General features: G+C 40.7%; 1 protein-coding gene across 8 annotated transcripts in view; it reads right to left on the reverse strand.

The window, feature by feature from the left end:
* SLC39A8 (solute carrier family 39 member 8) overlaps positions 2,470-17,083 on the reverse strand; it is a 94,442-nt gene continuing 79,828 nt past the window's right edge. For 4 of the 8 annotated variants that reach the window (XM_047416070.1, NM_022154.5, XM_017008541.2 and 1 more), the window contains one exon: positions 13,093-14,622. In XM_047416070.1, the coding sequence (XP_047272026.1) occupies positions 14,473-14,622 (150 nt within the window). In that variant the 3' untranslated portion in view covers positions 13,093-14,472. Of the gene's footprint in view, positions 4,860-8,786; positions 9,051-10,883; positions 10,944-13,092; positions 14,623-17,083 lie in introns of those variants that run through there. The other 4 variants (NM_001135146.2, NM_001135148.2, NM_001135147.1 and 1 more) reach the window with 3 other exon arrangements.

Below are 17,083 nucleotides of genomic sequence, written 5' to 3' on the forward strand. Positions count from 1 at the left end.
CACAGCATTCAAGGAAGATATTTCCCACTCTTTATTCATCAGCAGAGAAACACCAGCTTCAAAAATACCTTTCTCTGAATATCAATCCATCACCATTTCTTTTTTTTTTTTTTTTGAGACAGAGTCTCGCTCTGTCGCCCCAGCTGGAGTGCAGTAGCGCTATCGCGGCTCACCGCAAGCTCCGCCTCCTGGGTTCACGTCATTCTCCTGTCTCAGCCTCCCAAGTAACTGGGACTACAAGAGCCCGCCACCATGCCCGACTAATTTTTTTTTGTATTATTAGTAGAGACGGGGTTTCACCATGTTAGCCAGGATGGTCTCGATCTCCTGACCTTGTGATCCACCAGCCTTGGCCTCCCAAAGTGCTGGGATTACAGGCGTGAGCCACTGCACCTGGCCAATCCATCACCCTTTTTTTTTTTTTTGAGACGGAGTCTTGCTCTGTAGCCCAGACTGGAGTGCAGTAGCGCGATCTCGGCTCACTACAAGCTCCACCTACCAGGTTCACTCCATCCTCCGGCCTCAGCCTCCCAAGTAGCTGGGACTACAGGCACCCGCCACCGCGCCCAGCTAATTTTCTTTTATTTTTTAATAGATTAATAGAGATGGGGTTTCACCATGGTCTCGATCTCCTGACCTCATGATCCACCCGCCTTGGCCTCCCAAAGTGCTGGGATTACAGGTGCAGGCCACCGCGCCCGGCCATTCATCACCATTTCTTAAATGAATGAGTAAATAAGATGAGAACCCAGACCAGCATTCCTGGGTAAAAGCTCCAAAGTTTTTTCAGGAGATCCCTCAAACCCATTATGTCCAGAATTGGTGGGTTCTTGGTCTCATTGACTTCAAGAATGAAACCGTGGACCCTCACAGTGAGTGTTGCAGTTTTTAAAGGTGGTGTGTCCAGAGTTTGTTCCTTCTGATGTTCGGATGTGTTCGGAGTTTCTTCCTTCTGGTGGGTTCCTGCTCTCGCTGGCTTCAGGAGTGAAGCTGCAGACCTTCGCAGTGAGTGTTACAGCTCATAAAGGCAGTGCAGACCCGAAGAGTGAGCAGCAGCAAGCTGTATTGCAAAGAGCGAAGAACAAAGCTTCCACAACACAGAAGGAGACAACAGCAGGTTACCACTGCTGCCTTCGGCAGCCTGCTTTTATTCCCTTATCTGGCCCCACCCACATCCTGCTGATTGGTCCATTTTACAGAGAGCAGATTGGTCCATTTTACAGAGAGCTGATTGGTCCGTTTTGACAGGGTGCTGATTGGTGCATTTACAATCCCTGAGCTAGACACAAAAGTTCTCCTGGTCCCCACTAGATTAGCTAGATATAGAGTGCTGAATGGTGTATTTACAAACCCTGAGCTAGACACAGAGTGCTGATTAGTGCATTTACAAATCTTGAGCTAGACACAGAGTGCTGATTGGTGTACTGGTGTATTCACAATCCCTTAGCTAGACATAAAGGTTCTCCAAGTCCCCACCAGATCAGCTAGACACAGAGTGCTGATTGGTGCATTTACAAACCTTGAGCTAGACACAGGGTGCAGATTGGTGTGTTTACAAACCTTGAGCTATATACAGAGTGCTGATTGATGTATTTACAATCCCTTAGCTAGACATAAAGGTTCTCCAAGTCCCCACTAGACTCAGGAGCCCAGGTGGCTTCACCCAGTGGATCCTGCACCGGGGCGCAGGTGGAGCTGCCTGCCAGTCCTGAGCCTTGTGCCCACAATCCTCAGCCCTTGGGCGGTGATGGGACTGGTGCCATGGAGCAGGGGGCGGCAATCATTGGGGAGGCTAGTGCAGCGCAGGAGCCCGCGGCTGCGGGGAGGCTGAAGTATGGCGGGCTGCAGGTCCTCCTGCCCGGCAGGGAGGCAGCTAAGGCCTGGCAAGAAATTGAGCCCCGCGCGGGTGGGCCGGCACTGCTGGGGTACCCGGCGCACCCTCTGCAGCTGCTGGCCCAGGTGCTAAGCTCCTGACTGCCCAGGGCCAGTGTGGCTGGCCGGCCACTCTGAGTGAGGGGCCCGCCGAGCCCACGCCCACCGGGAACTCGGCTGGCCCCGCAAGCACCACGCAGACCTGGTTCCCACCCGCGCCTCTGCCTCCACACCTCCCCGCAAGCTGAGGGAGCTGGCTCCGGCCTCGGCCAGCCCAGAAAGGGGCTCCCACAGTGCAGCAGCAGGCTGAAGGGCGCCTCAAGCACGGCCACAGTGGGCGCCGAGGCCGAGGAGGCACCCAGAGCGAGCCAGGGCTGCGAGGGCTGCCAGCACACTGTCACCTCTCACCATGACCTGCAACACAAATGGAAGGAGAATACCAGTTAGGAGTTCTGCCTGGTGATCAGGGGCTGGAGAGTTCATGTGAGTACAAATAATTATTCTCTCCCCACAAATCCATTTCCTCTGTGGAAGCGTGAGTTACTTTAGCCCCTGAAAAGACACAGGGAAGCCACATGAAAATGAGAAAAGCATAGGAATGTTTGTTTAAATTTATTTGTTTAATTGACAATAATTGCACATATTTATGGGGTACATAGTGATGTTATACATATAATGTATGTATATGTGATGCATATAATGTATAGGAATCAGATTAAGGTTATTAGCATATCCATCATCTCAAATAGTTGTCATTTCTTTGTGTTGGGAACATTCATATGTTCCTTCTAGCTACTTGAAACTAAATAATATATTATTGTTAGCTATAGCCATCCTACTGTTATGTCAACAAAAGGGAAATTCCTTTAATGTCCCAGCCCTGAGCCAGTGCAAGGGCAACTCACATTAGCAGCTGGGATGTCCAGGAACAGGAAGTTTCAGAGGGCCAGGTTCAGACACAGTGCCCACTTCAAAGCCTGGGAAATCAAAGATTTCCCAGGCCTGGTGGTCTGGGCATCTCTCTTTTCTCTTGCAGAGGTGGCAAAACTCGACCTCTGTCCTCTTAGGGTCCTACCTGGGCCCAAGAATTAAATTGATGTAAGACAGGTTAACGGGAGAAAAGCATACAAATTTATTTAATACATGTTTTACAGGACATAAGAGCCCATATGGGAAAAGAGCCCATATAGGGAAAAGAAGACCCAAGGATGCAGTGAGAGTCAATCGCTTCTATACTGGTTGCACAAAGGACAGTAGTTTTGAAAAGGCAGCTAAATTATGTGGGGAGGTTTAAAATAGAAGAATTACTTGAACAAGGTCTATACAGAATTCTCTCAGTTCCAATTTCTCATCATTGATAGGGAGAATGGTATTCCTTCTGTGACAGGGAGGCCATCTCCCATGTGGGAATTTCATCTCCTGCTGTTAAGACACAGAATTAAGATCAGAGTGACCTCTTCATATCTGATGTTTTTAAAATATCTGTAATTCAAATAGTCAATATGCCAGAGCAGCACATTTTGATGGCATAATTCTTAACCTCTTCACTCTCTTCCTCTTGGAGATTGCATGTAGCCTCCTAAGAGTACGAAGTTTAACTCTACCATAAGTAAAGTATAAAAATGGCTTCCTTTCCTCACTCCAAGAGACTCCAGGCCCAAAAGATAACTCCAGAAAGTGAGGAACTAGAGCATAGGCCAGAACCTGCTTCTTTTCCATCTCCCCTGCAATAATCAAACACTCTCTAAGGTACAGTCAAAGAAAGAATGCAAAGGATGAAAGAATTTACAGACAGGTCTGTCTGTTTGGGCTTTTCTCATAAAATGTGGCCATCAAAATGTCATAACGGGAGTCACGGCCAGGCTTGACTTCTAATGATGAGAAAAGTTAGATAATGCCCTTCTTTGTGCTTTTCACAAAAGCAGGGAGATCTCTTGGGAGAAAAAGGATTTATCCTTCTTTTTCTTCTTTAGATATACAAAGAGACATCTGGGGACAGGGAGTGGCCCAGGGAGGAGTTGGACATCAGAATTTAGATTGCAAAAAGGAACACTGGGGAGGGCTGACTTGGTTAGTTTGCTTTAATTACTAGCAGTCAAAGAGCAACTCACAATGGTTTGCACCATTAGGAAAAGTGATTATTACACACACCAAAAAAAATCCCAAGGAAGAGGGACTCCAGGGAAGAGGCTTGTCAATTCAGTGGCTAAGGATGTCCTCATGGACCATCTTTCCACTTTCTGCTGTGCTTCTTCAGCACATCACCTTCATCCCCATGCTATTTCCTCTCAAGGTAGCTGTATTAGTCGGCTAGAACTGCAGTAATAAAGTGCCACAACTGGGTAGCTTAAATAACAAAAATGTATTGTCTCACAGTTGTGGAGGCTGGAAGTCCAAGATTCAGGTGTGCACAGGATTGGTTCCTTCTTAGGGCTGCGAGAGAGAATTCATTCCATACCTCTCTCCCAGATTCTGATGATTTGCTGGCAATTGTTGACATTGTAGATGCATCACCACGATCTCTGCCTTCATCTTTACATGGTGTAGCTAGTATTCAAATTTCTCTTTTTAATAAGAATACCAGTCATACTAGATCAGGAACCCACTCTACTCCAGTATGAGCTCATCTTAACAAATTACATTTGCAATGACTCTATTTCCAAATAAGGTCACATTCTGAAATACTGGGGATTAGAACTCAAACATGTCGTTTTTCGGGGCGAGCGGGGAGGGCGGCGGGGAACACAATTAGAAACAAAACAGTAGCAAAATGGCTGCTCCAGGTGTCACACCTACAAACAAAGTCCCTAGAAAGAAGAGGCTGTATCTTCCTTACTCCTTTTGAGAAACTTCACAGCACACACAGCATCACGTCTCAATGGTCATAACTATGTCATATGCCAACCTCTAACCAATCACTGTTGAAGGTGCTGGTATTGCAGAGATGTGGAGGTGAAATACTCCAGATAATGAAATTACTACCTTGCCTGACAGACAAAGAGAAGGAACATAGTAAAGTTTTAAGCATGTGAGTTACCATGTTTCCGTAATCTTTCAGTCCTCTAAGTTGTTAGCTTTTCTCCTTTTTCCTAATCACATCTATTAGCTTTTTTAGAATACATGTTCATTGAAGAAAATTGGAAAGCATTAAAAATAATATATTTTGAATAATTCAAAAATCCCACCAAGACTTCTTCTAATTTCCCTTCTAATTTACCGGTAAGTACGTGTTTATTGAAAAAAATTGAGACAATATTAACATTTTACAAAGAACCAATTTAAAATGATTCATAATCCCATCGAGATATCCCCTACTAATGTACTAGAAAATATTTTCCCATATGTATATGTTATATATACATACATACATATATAACAAAAAGTGTGGCTATAGTGTGCGTACCGCTGAGTAGCCTGCCTTTCTTCAGTTAGTATTAATTTGATTGTTTGCATTTCCTTTCTGCTTGTGGTAATGTTATTAATCACAACTATCTGGAACACCTTACCCCCAACACATATTTACACTCTACAGTTCTCTTTTGGTATCATTAATTGCAAAAGAGTTCCAGCTCAAGTTAAACCACAGGAAAAGGCTCTTGGTTCCAGTCATGGGAGGAGAGAAGAGGTCTGATCAGAAATGAATTCGACGTTATTCATTAAACCCAAGTCAAACAGTCAAATGTTTCCTCCTTTGTGAAGTATTTTTCACTGACTCCTCCTCCAACCTAAGGAGAATTCTCCCATTTGTGCACAATTACTATTGAGCTGACTGTCCATGTTCTCTAACATAACACTCTGATTTGTGATATCATTGGTTTTCCACATGCCATGATACCCTTGAGAGCAGAGATGAGCTCTGATCTATCTTTATATCTCCAGGCCTAGCATCAGTAGACATTGAATATGTGTTTTATTGAACAAATGAATTCATTCATTCATTCACAGAAGAACAAGCTCAGAATTTTTTTCCTTATTCTCTACCATAGTTCCCTACAATGGTTTATCATAATTTCAAAAAGAGGCAAAGTTTGAACAATTAATTTTTAAGTATTATTTGGAAGAAAGTGAAATATAATTATTTCAACACTAACCTAGATATTATGCTTACATATCAGTGAGGCATGTGCCTTAAAAAGCCAGATGTCTGTAAAAATCAAATAATAACTTGACAACCAGGTGATGGTTGCTAGGAAACTGCATTTTTCTGTGAAAACATGATGTATGAAGTGTAGCCTAGATTCATATCCTACATTAAACATCTTCCTTGGAGTTATCTATGAAGTCTGATTTTGCATGGCTTGTCAAGGTATATAAGTTATTCCCTCAGTTATCCTGCTCCTGCTCTTAAAAATCATATGGTTCTATACATAGAATATTATTTCAACACCATTATTTGTTCTGAACTCAAGGTTGTTTAGGTTATAGATTGAGGCCCCTTTTGGCTCCAAAACTTTTCAGTGGCATCAAATGTTAGTTACCCTCTCATAGTTGTCACTGAGGAACAACCTTCACTTTTGATGTATTAATTGTGCTAAGTGAAAAAAAGTAAAATATGTACAATGTTTCTATGTATTCCAAAGTGAAATAAAAATAAATAGAAATTATCCATGAGTTTTGAAAGATTTTTGCTCACCACTACTGGAACATAATAGAGATTTTACTATACTCTGCCTAGGAAGTTGACTCCTGACATTGATAGTGAAGTTCCAGAAAGTGCTGAGGAACTTTGCTAAATTCAAGAGCTGGGAATTTTGTTTGAAATAAATATCTCAATATTTAACTGCTGTATTAATTAGAAAAATTGTATTGCAAGAAACAGAAACCCAAATCAAATTAGTTAAAGCCAAAAAGGACATACTGAGATACTAGAATAACTTGGGTAACTTACAAAATTGAAGGAACTAAAGAAAAATAACTGAAAAGTACTAAGGATGTCAGGAACTAGAACCAAAGACAACACAACTCTCTCCAATCAGTCCCCATAGCTTCTACTGTTTTCTCAGCATCCATCTCATTTTCCCGGGTTTCTCCTTGTGCCAGGAACATGACCACCAGAAGCTCTGGGGTCAAATACAAGAGGCAAGAGTTTTGGCTCTCCACATCCTTAGAAGTTTCTGTGTAAAGATTACAATTGACCCAGACTGGGTGACTTGCCCAGCTTGTGGCAAATGGGTGAGGTTAAGTGCATTGGTTGACAATCTCCAGTAGGGGTTGGGAGAAACCAGTTTCTAAAAGGAAGAGTGAAGCTTTTACATGGACAAGGGCAGAAGTCAAGGTATGCAGAAACAATCAACAGAAGTGCATTACTCCAAACATATCCAGCAATGATTTTAATACCACTTTCACCAGTTTTGTCACCACAAAGTGACAGGACAACCCAGCTCCTAACTTATACAATGTCATCTTTATGACTATTCTAAAATGCTTTGAACTTTTTCATCTTAAAACACCAAAGGATCGCTATGACAGCGCAGGTGCTTTTTCTCACGTGCATCCTTCTACGAAATGCTTAGACATGAATTCTGAGGCTTACTTTTCACAAATTAAAAGATTTTTTCATGGAAACACAAAAGATACAAAAAGTAGAAAGATCCATATGAAGCACCTTCCTCCACAGTTTCTAAGCTTCTAAAATCAATGTTTCCCAGTTCATTAACAAGCTCGTACATAATTATTAGAGTAACACCATTAAGGTTAGCACATACAATGACTCCCAAAGAAAAAACATTGTCTATTTATAAGCATTGCTGTGAATGGGTGGAACGTCTCAGCAATACAGTCACAAGCAGCAGTCCCGGTGTTCTCACTCAGATATTCCACGTAGCACTTCATAGTATGCTTTAAGTGAGGGAATGTGACCTATAGATACATCTACACGAGAAGGATTCCCATAAGGCATAAACTGTTCAATAAACAATCATAAAAATATATTCATTCTTCCCTATCTAGAAATCTATGTCTTTATTTAAAAATACGTGATGATTCATGCTTAAGGACGTGTTGTTGGACAGTTGGTTACAGTCTTTTATCTAGTCAAAAGATTCTTATCTGCCAGAAATGTGATAAGTCCACTTATAACTAGTCTCTCAAAACATCCTAGATATTTTTCTCTGTATGCATAGTTAATCATACAAATTAATCTAACCTAATGCCATCTTGTTACCCTAAAATGTTTAATGATAATGGCTTATCATCTTTCATCCCCATAAATTTTCTCCTTGCTTTCAGTGAGCAGCAACTTCACTCCCATATACGCACTTGTTGTGTATTCCTTCTCCTGCCAAATTCACACAGTCACCTCCTCTTCCAGGATAAGACGTTTACTGCTGATAATCACAGCCACAGGGGAAACAAAGAACTGCCATGCTCAAATGAGGGTAAGGTGAGGCAGGTCCATTAATTTACAAAGGGACTGATTACAAACATGCAAGTGGGGTGCAGGGAAACCACAGGTGATGCTACATGAACGCAGGGCTGAAGACAGTAGAGCTGTTACTACCCCTAGGCCAAAGGGACAGAGAGATAGTGGGCACCAAAACCAAAGGAGGGGAATCTACAGGCAGGTGCTGGCCCAGCAACAGTTTTTTAGATGAACTAGGTACGGAAATTGAGAATAAGCATTTATAAACTTCAACAGTAATCCCAAAGAATAATTGTGTCTAATAAAAAATGAGGTTTATCTAATAATAAAAATGGGGTTGGATTTTCTATGTCTTTTTTTTTTTTTCCAAGATGGAGTCTTGCTCTGTTACCCATGCTAGAGTGCAGTGGCATTATCTCGGCTCACTGCAACCTCTGCCTCCCGGGTTCAATTCTCCTGCCTCAGCCTCCTGAATAACTGGGATTACAGGTGTCCGCCACCACCCCCAGCTAATTTATTTATTTATTTTTAATTGTATTTCATTTTTCTAGTAATTTCTTTGAATTCTATCTATTTACAGAAGTGCCAGCTATTGATAAATTGGAAATAAGGAAAACAAGCTGGGCCTTAGCCACAGATATTGTAAGAAGCTTTTCTGTAGAGAAGGCCTTCTTGGGCAAAACAGGCAGCCCAAGGATACCCAGTAGGAGGATAGTCAAGGAAATTGATACTCTATCCTTCCTCTCTTCACTTCCTCCAGTCTCTTGTCGAAGTTCTCCATTTGGCTATACCCACTGAGGTCCATGTGGGTCAGTCTCTGGAGGCAAAAAGCAGGATACAGAAGGGTGGAGAGTGGATCCCCATCCTGTACAGTTGAAAAGTCTATGTCCCCAACATTGCAAATGCACGAAGTCCCATCACCACAGAGTGATGTCATTTAGTCACGGAGTAATGTCTCCCTGTGCCACTTACCAACTTACTAACACTGAACTCCAAATTCACTCTAAATACATGCTCTGTCATAATGAACAGAATTCCTTTAGCACCCATCCTTTACAGTGAGCATGATATTGAGCTGTCTCAGTAGAGGGCGCTGGAGGGATACTGCAACAGGAAAGGGCTCTCCTGCTGTTTGCAGCTGCTGCAAGAGGTCAGCAGTGTGGGTGGGAGGGCTTTTGTCATGCTCTTCCCTGGCTGCATCCCTGAGCATGGGGTTCCTTTGCAACTTCTCAGCTGCAGCCTGGCCTAGCATTAAAAATAGAACCCATTACACAGGTTTGTTGTAAGTAAGTGTTTTTTGTTTTTTGTTTTTTTTTTTGAGACGGAGTCTTGCTTTGTCACCCAGGCTGGAGTGCAGTGGCGCGATCTCGGCTCACTGCAAGCTCCGCCTCCCTGATTAACACCATTCTCCTGCCTCAGCCTCCCGAGTAGCTGGGACTACAGGTGTGTGTAAGTACTAATTTTTAAAGGGCAGATATAATCAGTATATTAACATGCAGTTCTCACAGGGGTAACTAAAAACAACTTTTAATTTTATTCCTCACTGTCTGCTTGGGAGTGAAGGACTGGCTAGCCCTTCTCCTACCCCTGGATGAAACTTGGGGTGGCACAATGGCTGTTCTCACACAGGACTTTGGAGGGAATATAAAATCCTACAATTACTTCAAGACACAAACATAGTCTCAAGTCAGTTATTGAAAATGTCCAATCCAATGCATCAATCAGTAATTCAATTTGTATTCAAAGGTAAGACTTCTGGGAAGGAATCCTTCTCTTTTATTTCCTTACTCCCCACTGTTCACTAATTGGCTTTTGGCCCTTCCAGGGTTAAGTGCTCAGATGAAGGAAAGAAAAGGGGATAAAAAAGTTCATACTTGACAGATACTGTCAAAATGTTGCTTAATGCTGTCTGTCTGACAGATGCTTAAGACTAACCTTTCTTTTATAGACACTTTTGGGATTCTTCAGAGGGGTTCCTGCCAAGTGATGTATTCTAGTTCTCCAATTGCCCCACATGACTTAGTCCTTGGTTTTCCAGAAGTTCACTCAGTACTGACCTTCTTCTATTTTCAAGATAGTACCCCTCTTACACAAGATTTTAAATTGTTCCAAACCAGAACTTACACACCACTCGGCTCACACTAGACCATGGGAATATTCGTCTACCTTTTATCCCAACAAACTCTACGACTGAAGGTCAAGCTGGGGTAGCAACAACTCTCCTCACTTCACCTGCAAAAGCACTTGCCAGACCTCCTCTGAGCCTCTCTACAGACACCACCCGCAGTGTCTGTGAGGTCTGCTAATGGAGCTTGCCACAAAATACAGACTGAAACAAGTTTTATAAACTTCCTCAGCTTTTTGAGAGAGGGAAGAATTTCCCATTTGAATTCTTCCAAGGAGATTTCCCCCTGTACTCATAACTTTTCATCTTTATTTTTCTTTCCTATGACCCCTAAGCAAACATCCTGTTGGTGACCATAAGCTTGGCAATAAATTATCCACGTGTTGCCTCACTGGGGTTTTACTACCAGTTGGTCTATACTGTTGTGGGAATAACATGCACAGTCACTGCAGAAGGAATTAAGCCATTGTATAAACTTTAAAACATGCAAGCCCACCCATTAAAATTGTTCCTTGTTATTCTTACCGTATATATCCAAAGTAAATGAAGTTGAGATTTGATGTCATCAGTAGCCCATTTGATTATCTACAAGAATCAGATAACAAACTGGTATTATGGGGGAGAGATATAAATAGGAAATCAGTGATGTGCTCAAACTGTAAATCTAGCCCCGCCATGGCTTATTTCTATACCAGTTGCTTAGCATGGCCAACCCGAAAGTCAACGATTTTAATAGTCCCTGAATAGTATTATGATGATCTCTGGTTACTTAGTAGGGCCCTACCTAGCAGACTGTTTCTGCTTTACCACATTTGGATGTCAGATCCAACTTTTCTTGCACTGACTGGCTGTAATAACCCATATGGGGCAGGGGGAGAAATAAGTGGTTTTTTAAATTTACTTTTGCCAGTATGTGTTAATAGTACTTAGTTTCATAATTCTGGATGTGGCTCCAGTAATCAGAAGAGCTTTAAACAGAAAGATCAAAGTCCATAGAAAAGAGTTTTGTTTCCGTTTCCTTAGAATATAGATCATCCTGTGAAAAACATAGGATTTCTTCAAGGTAAATAAATAGTACTCACAGGAGGCTAAGGCAGAGAAACTATAATGACAAGTAGTTCAAGTGTGTAAAGAAAAATACTGGTTATTAGGAAAGACTGCTCAGATGGGCCAGTATAATTAAAATAGTTAAAGTGACAAGGGATTGATCTGAAACAAGTCATGAGAATCCCTACAAAAAGCAGTTCCCTAAACTGGCTGCATAAGAACCATCTGGAGTAATAAGCTTACGAATTAAACTGATACAAGCCTGTCTGTACCTGAGACAGCCGATATCCAGTCTGGGCTTCTTTTCAGTAAGAGAATTCTGATTTTATTGCTGGTAATGTATCCAGCTAAAAGCAATGTTTCTCAGCTTCTCCTGAAGATTGGTATGGCCATGTGACTAATTCTGGTCATTGAATACAAGTGGAGATTATTGGCTATTACTTCTGAAAAGGCTCTTTAAAGAGGGAGGAAGAGCTGAGTTTGAACTTTTTGCCTTTCTACCCATTCCTCCTTCTATGTAGAATTTAGACCTTAAGGCTGAATCTGTAGCAACCATCTTAGAGCATGAAGCAATCTTGAAGGTGGGAGTCACAAGTTAAAGATGGCAGAGCTAATGGATTAAAGGAGTCTGGGTTCCCAGCCACCATGGGACTGCCATGCCAACCCTGCACTGCTCCTTCCACACTTGTTTTATAAGAAGGAAAGTAAACCTAACATAGATAATCCTGTTACTATACACCATCAAATCCTAAACACAGTGCTACTGGCATTTTCTTAGCCTTACCAGATTGCAACAGATGATTTTCATTTTCAGGCAAGTATAACTACCTCCACAATGCTACCCAGCTGTCAGTGATTACAGCATACCATTTGGGGAAATGCATGTCTTAGAATTAATGAAACAGGTATTTAGAGTCTTCAGTTTATCCAGCTGCCTTAGCTTGCCTGAAATCTTACTAGTAAACTCACTGATTCTGGGACCATCCAGAAGCTGGAAATTCCCAATGTGGAAGAGAAATGGCCATGAGAGAATGCCTTGTGCATACCTGGCACAGAAAGGAAGCTAAGGAAAAGCAATCCAACACAGACATTGCCACCCACAGTTGTATGGAAGGCAAAGTATCAGTGAGAAAGAAGCTGTAGTAACATCAGTGTTGGAGAATCTTTATTTATTATAGGGTTAACCTCTTGTACCGTAATGGACCTTAAATGAGCACAGAAGTCTGGTCTCCAAAGTGAGACCTAAAGGAAGATGATGCCAACCAGAGCATGGAGGACAGACTGGAAGTTTTCCCCTGGCACAGGCCATCAGTAATCAGCTGTTGATATGCCTATGTTAATTGTCTGGTAAACTCGTGGTGCTGTTTTGGCTCTTCTCAACTAGTTCACTTTTTAAAAATTTAAGCACCTCATTAAAGAAACCCTTTTAGATGTGGTAAAGCGAAACAGTCTACTAGGTAGGGCCCTACTAAGTAACGAGAGATCATCATAATACTATTCAGAGACTATTAAAATCGTCGACTCTTGGGTTGGCCATGCTAAGCAACTGGTATAGAAATAAGCCATGGCGGGGTTAGATTTACAGTTTGAGCACATCACTGATTTCCTATTTATATCTCTCCCCCATAATACCAGATACATGGTAGTCACTCAACAGGACAAATATTAAATAACAAATGACACAATACATGGTTTCAAAAGGGTGTTTACTATTTGGCCAAACAATATTTTTTAATTGTCAGTCATAAAGTGAAATACATACTAAAATATATATTAAATATTCACCAAATCTGCATTGCTGCTACATGAAAACATTTTTTGGTCTGTTGGAAAATGTAATTCCTGAGATCATTGTTGGGCTTTGTCAATCATTTTCCTCACCATCAAATCACCTTAAGTGACTTGGGAGTGTGAATCTAGGATGTTCAATTTTAGACCAATTTTCTCTATCTTCTAAATGAGTAAACAGGCTCTGTCTTTTATAAAAGGTAGAAAAATAACCATGGTGTGCTAATTTTTTTCAAGGTATACCATATGGAAAAGTATAGGCTGAACACAAAGGAAGTCTTTTCTGAATGGCTCTCGATCACACATAAGGAACATATGTTTTCCAGTTAATCTGTCCTTGATGTACAGCAGTCCAGCTGTTGTTTTGCATTTATTAAAATATTCTCTGCTAAATAGTTATGTTTGTCTTTAAAAGTAAATTGCATAAAATTACATCCAATTTCTTTCTCTAAACCAACATATTCTTCACCTTCACAAAGCAAACACATGGTGCACTGAAACCGAGGTGTTACCAGCTTTACATACTGTTCTGCCATTTGTGAGGGGTGCAACCACAACATAAGTCAGAAAAAAAGCTATCCAGCTTTTCGTGGAATCTGGTGAAGTTTATACTTAGCGATAAGCCTCTAAGCCTGAACTTAGCAGGGCTAGCAAAACTTTATTTATTTCCTAACTCCTATTATTTTAGAATGGTTTTCAAAATAATACTGCAAGTTCCTAATTGAAATACAAAACAGAACAAAAAGCTGTGAGAAATCTTTTTTTTCTTTGGCTCCTTAAAGACTTGGAATAATTTATATTAGTGTTGCATACATTTTACCTTCTACATTTTGATGTACTTGCTCTTGAAAGCACTAGAACAAATTAATTGAAATAAAACCTCTCTGAAACCATTTGAATCTTTGATCCTACCATAGAGTTTTAAAGGCTTTCAGGATATAACTTGTATTTTCCCCTGAGTCTGAGTGTCTACATGATTATAGAATGCATGTCTCTTGCTTCATGGTGATATCTAATATGCATGGAATACTGAAAAATAGGTATTTCCCAAAGGCTCCTATATACCAGGCATCTCAGACTGACACTGAAAACCTTTTGAAGCATTTTTAACAACAAATAATGGACTATTTCACAGACTGATGCCAATAATTAGTTTTCTGGACCTACAGTTGAAAGCAAAATTATCTTTTTAACTAAATAGGATCAGCTTCAAAATCCTTTTTGGAGATGTTTTTATCTATTAAATGCCTTTATTAACAACACCATCTTCCATTTTCTATTACTCCAATTCGATTTCTCCTGCATACAAGGTAATGAGTAGAATGGCTGTGAATCCAGTTAACATTCCAGCATTCTGAATCATGAAGAAGGTGAAATCGGTTTTTCTTCCAGTTACCTTTTCTCTCAGCATATCATTCATCTCTGGAAACTAGAAGACAGATATATTGTTAGATAACTGTTGCCATCTTGTGGCAAACCACAAAACAGTCACTTAGAGGCATACCTTGGAGACAGTGTGGGTTTGGTTCCAGACCAGTGTGATAAAGCAAACATCTCAATAAAGCAAGTTACATGAATTCCCAGGTTTCCCAGTGCATATAATAGATATATTTGCATTATACTGTAGACTATTAAGTGTGCAATAGCATAATATCTAAAAAGGCAATGTATATACCATAATTTAAAAAAATACTTTATTGCTAAAAAATGCTACCAATCATTCGAGCTTTGGGTGAGTTGTAATCTTTTTGCTGGTGGAGTCTTGATTCCATCTTGATGGCTGCTGACTGATTAGAGTAGTGGTTGCTAAAGATGGGAGTGGCTGTGGAAATTTCTTAAAATAAGACAACAATGACATTTGCAACATCAATTTATTTCTTTCATGAAAGATTTCTCTGTAGTGTGCAATGCTGTTTGACAGCATTTTACCCACAGTAGAAATTATTTCCAAAGTGGAGGCAATCCTCTCAAACTCTGTCCCTGCTTTATGAACTATGTTTATAGAATATTCTAAATCCTTTGTTGTCATTTCAGCAATGTTCACCAGGAATAGATTCTGTCTCAAGAAATCACTGTTTGTTCCTCCGTAAGAAGCAACCCCTCATTCATTCTAGTTTAATCACGAGATTGCAGCAATTCAGTCCCATCTTCAGTCTCCACTTCTCATTCTAGTTATCTTGCCATTTCCACTACCTCTGCAGTTACTTCCTTCCCTGAAGTCTTGAACACCTCAAAGTCATCCATGAGGGTTGAAATCAGCTTCTTTCCAATTTCAATTAATGTGGATATTTTGACTCCTTCCATAAATCACAAATGTTCTTCATATCATCTAGAAGGATAAGTCCTTTCTAGAAAGTTTTCAACTTACTTTGCCCAGATGCATCAGAGGAATCACTATCTACAGCAACTAGAGACTTACAAATTATTCTTAAATGATATGATTTGTAAGTCAAAACTACTCCATGGACTGATCCATGGACTGCGGAATGTATGTTGTGTTAGCAAGCACAAAAACTTTCATCTCCTTGTACATCTCCATAAGAGCTCTTAGGTGATTTGATGCACTGTCAATGAGCAGTAATGTTTGAAAGGAATTTCTTTTATTTTTCTGAGCAGTGGGTCCTAACAGTGGGTTTAAAATACTCACTAAACCATGCTGTAAACAGATGTGTTATCATCCAGGCTGTGTTGTTCTATTTCTAGAGCACAGAGTGGATTCAACATAATTCCTAAGGGCCCTAGGATTTGGGGAATGGTAAATGATCACTGACCTCAACTTAAAGTTACCAGCTGCATTAGTCCCTAGTAAGACAGTCAGCCTATCCTTTGAAGATTTGAAACCAGGCATTGACTTCTCTCTAGTATGGAAAGTCCTGGATGGCATGTTCTTCTAACAGAAGGCTGTTTCAGCTACACTTAAAATCTATTAGTTTAGTGTAGTCACCTTCATCAGTGATCTTAGTTAGATCTTCTGGATAACTTTCTGCAGCTTCCCATCAGCACTTGCTGCTTCACCTGACACTTTTATGTCATACAGATGGCTTCTTTCCTTAAACCTAATGAATACACCTCTGCTAATGTCCAGTTTTTCTTCTGCAGCTTCTTTACTTCTGTAAGCCATCATAGAATTGAAGAGAGTTATTCCTTGCTCTGAAATAGGCTGTTGCTTAACGGAATGTTGTAGCTGGTTTGATCTTTCTATCCATACCACGTAAATTTTATTCATGTCAGCAATAAGGCTGTTTTGCTTTCTTATTATTTGTGTGTTCATTGGAGTAGCCCTTTTAATTTCCTTCATCAATCCTTTCTTTGCAGTCACAACTGGGCTATCTGGCAAACAAAGTCTAGCTTTTGGCCTGCCTTGGGTTTCAACATGCCCTCCTCACTAAGCCTAATCATTTCAGGCCTTTGATTTAATATGATAGATGTGCAGCTCTTCCTTTCACTTGAACACTTAGAGGCCACTGTAGGATTATTAATTGGTGTAATTTCAACATTGTTGGGTGTCAAGGAATAGGGAGGCCCAAGGAGAGGGAGATGGAAGGATGGCTGATCAGGGGTGCAGGGAGAAAACACACACAACATTTGTCAATTAAGTTCACCATTTTATACGAATGTGGTTCATGGCGTCCCAAAACATAATAGTAACATCATAGATCACTGATCACAAATCACTATAACAGATATTATAATAATAATGAAAAGGTTTGAAATCGTTTAAAAATTAACAAAATGTGACAGAGACAGGAAATAAGCCCATGCTATTCAAAAAATGGCACTGACAGATTTGCTTGAGGCAGGGTTGCCAAAAACTTTCAATGTGCAAAAAACCTAGCATTTACAAAGTGCATCAAAGCAATGTGCAATAAAACAAGGTGCTCCTGTAATAG

The sequence above is a fragment of the Homo sapiens genome, chromosome 4 (genome assembly GCF_000001405.40).
Source record: "Homo sapiens chromosome 4, GRCh38.p14 Primary Assembly".
Lineage (NCBI taxonomy): Eukaryota > Metazoa > Chordata > Mammalia > Primates > Hominidae > Homo > Homo sapiens.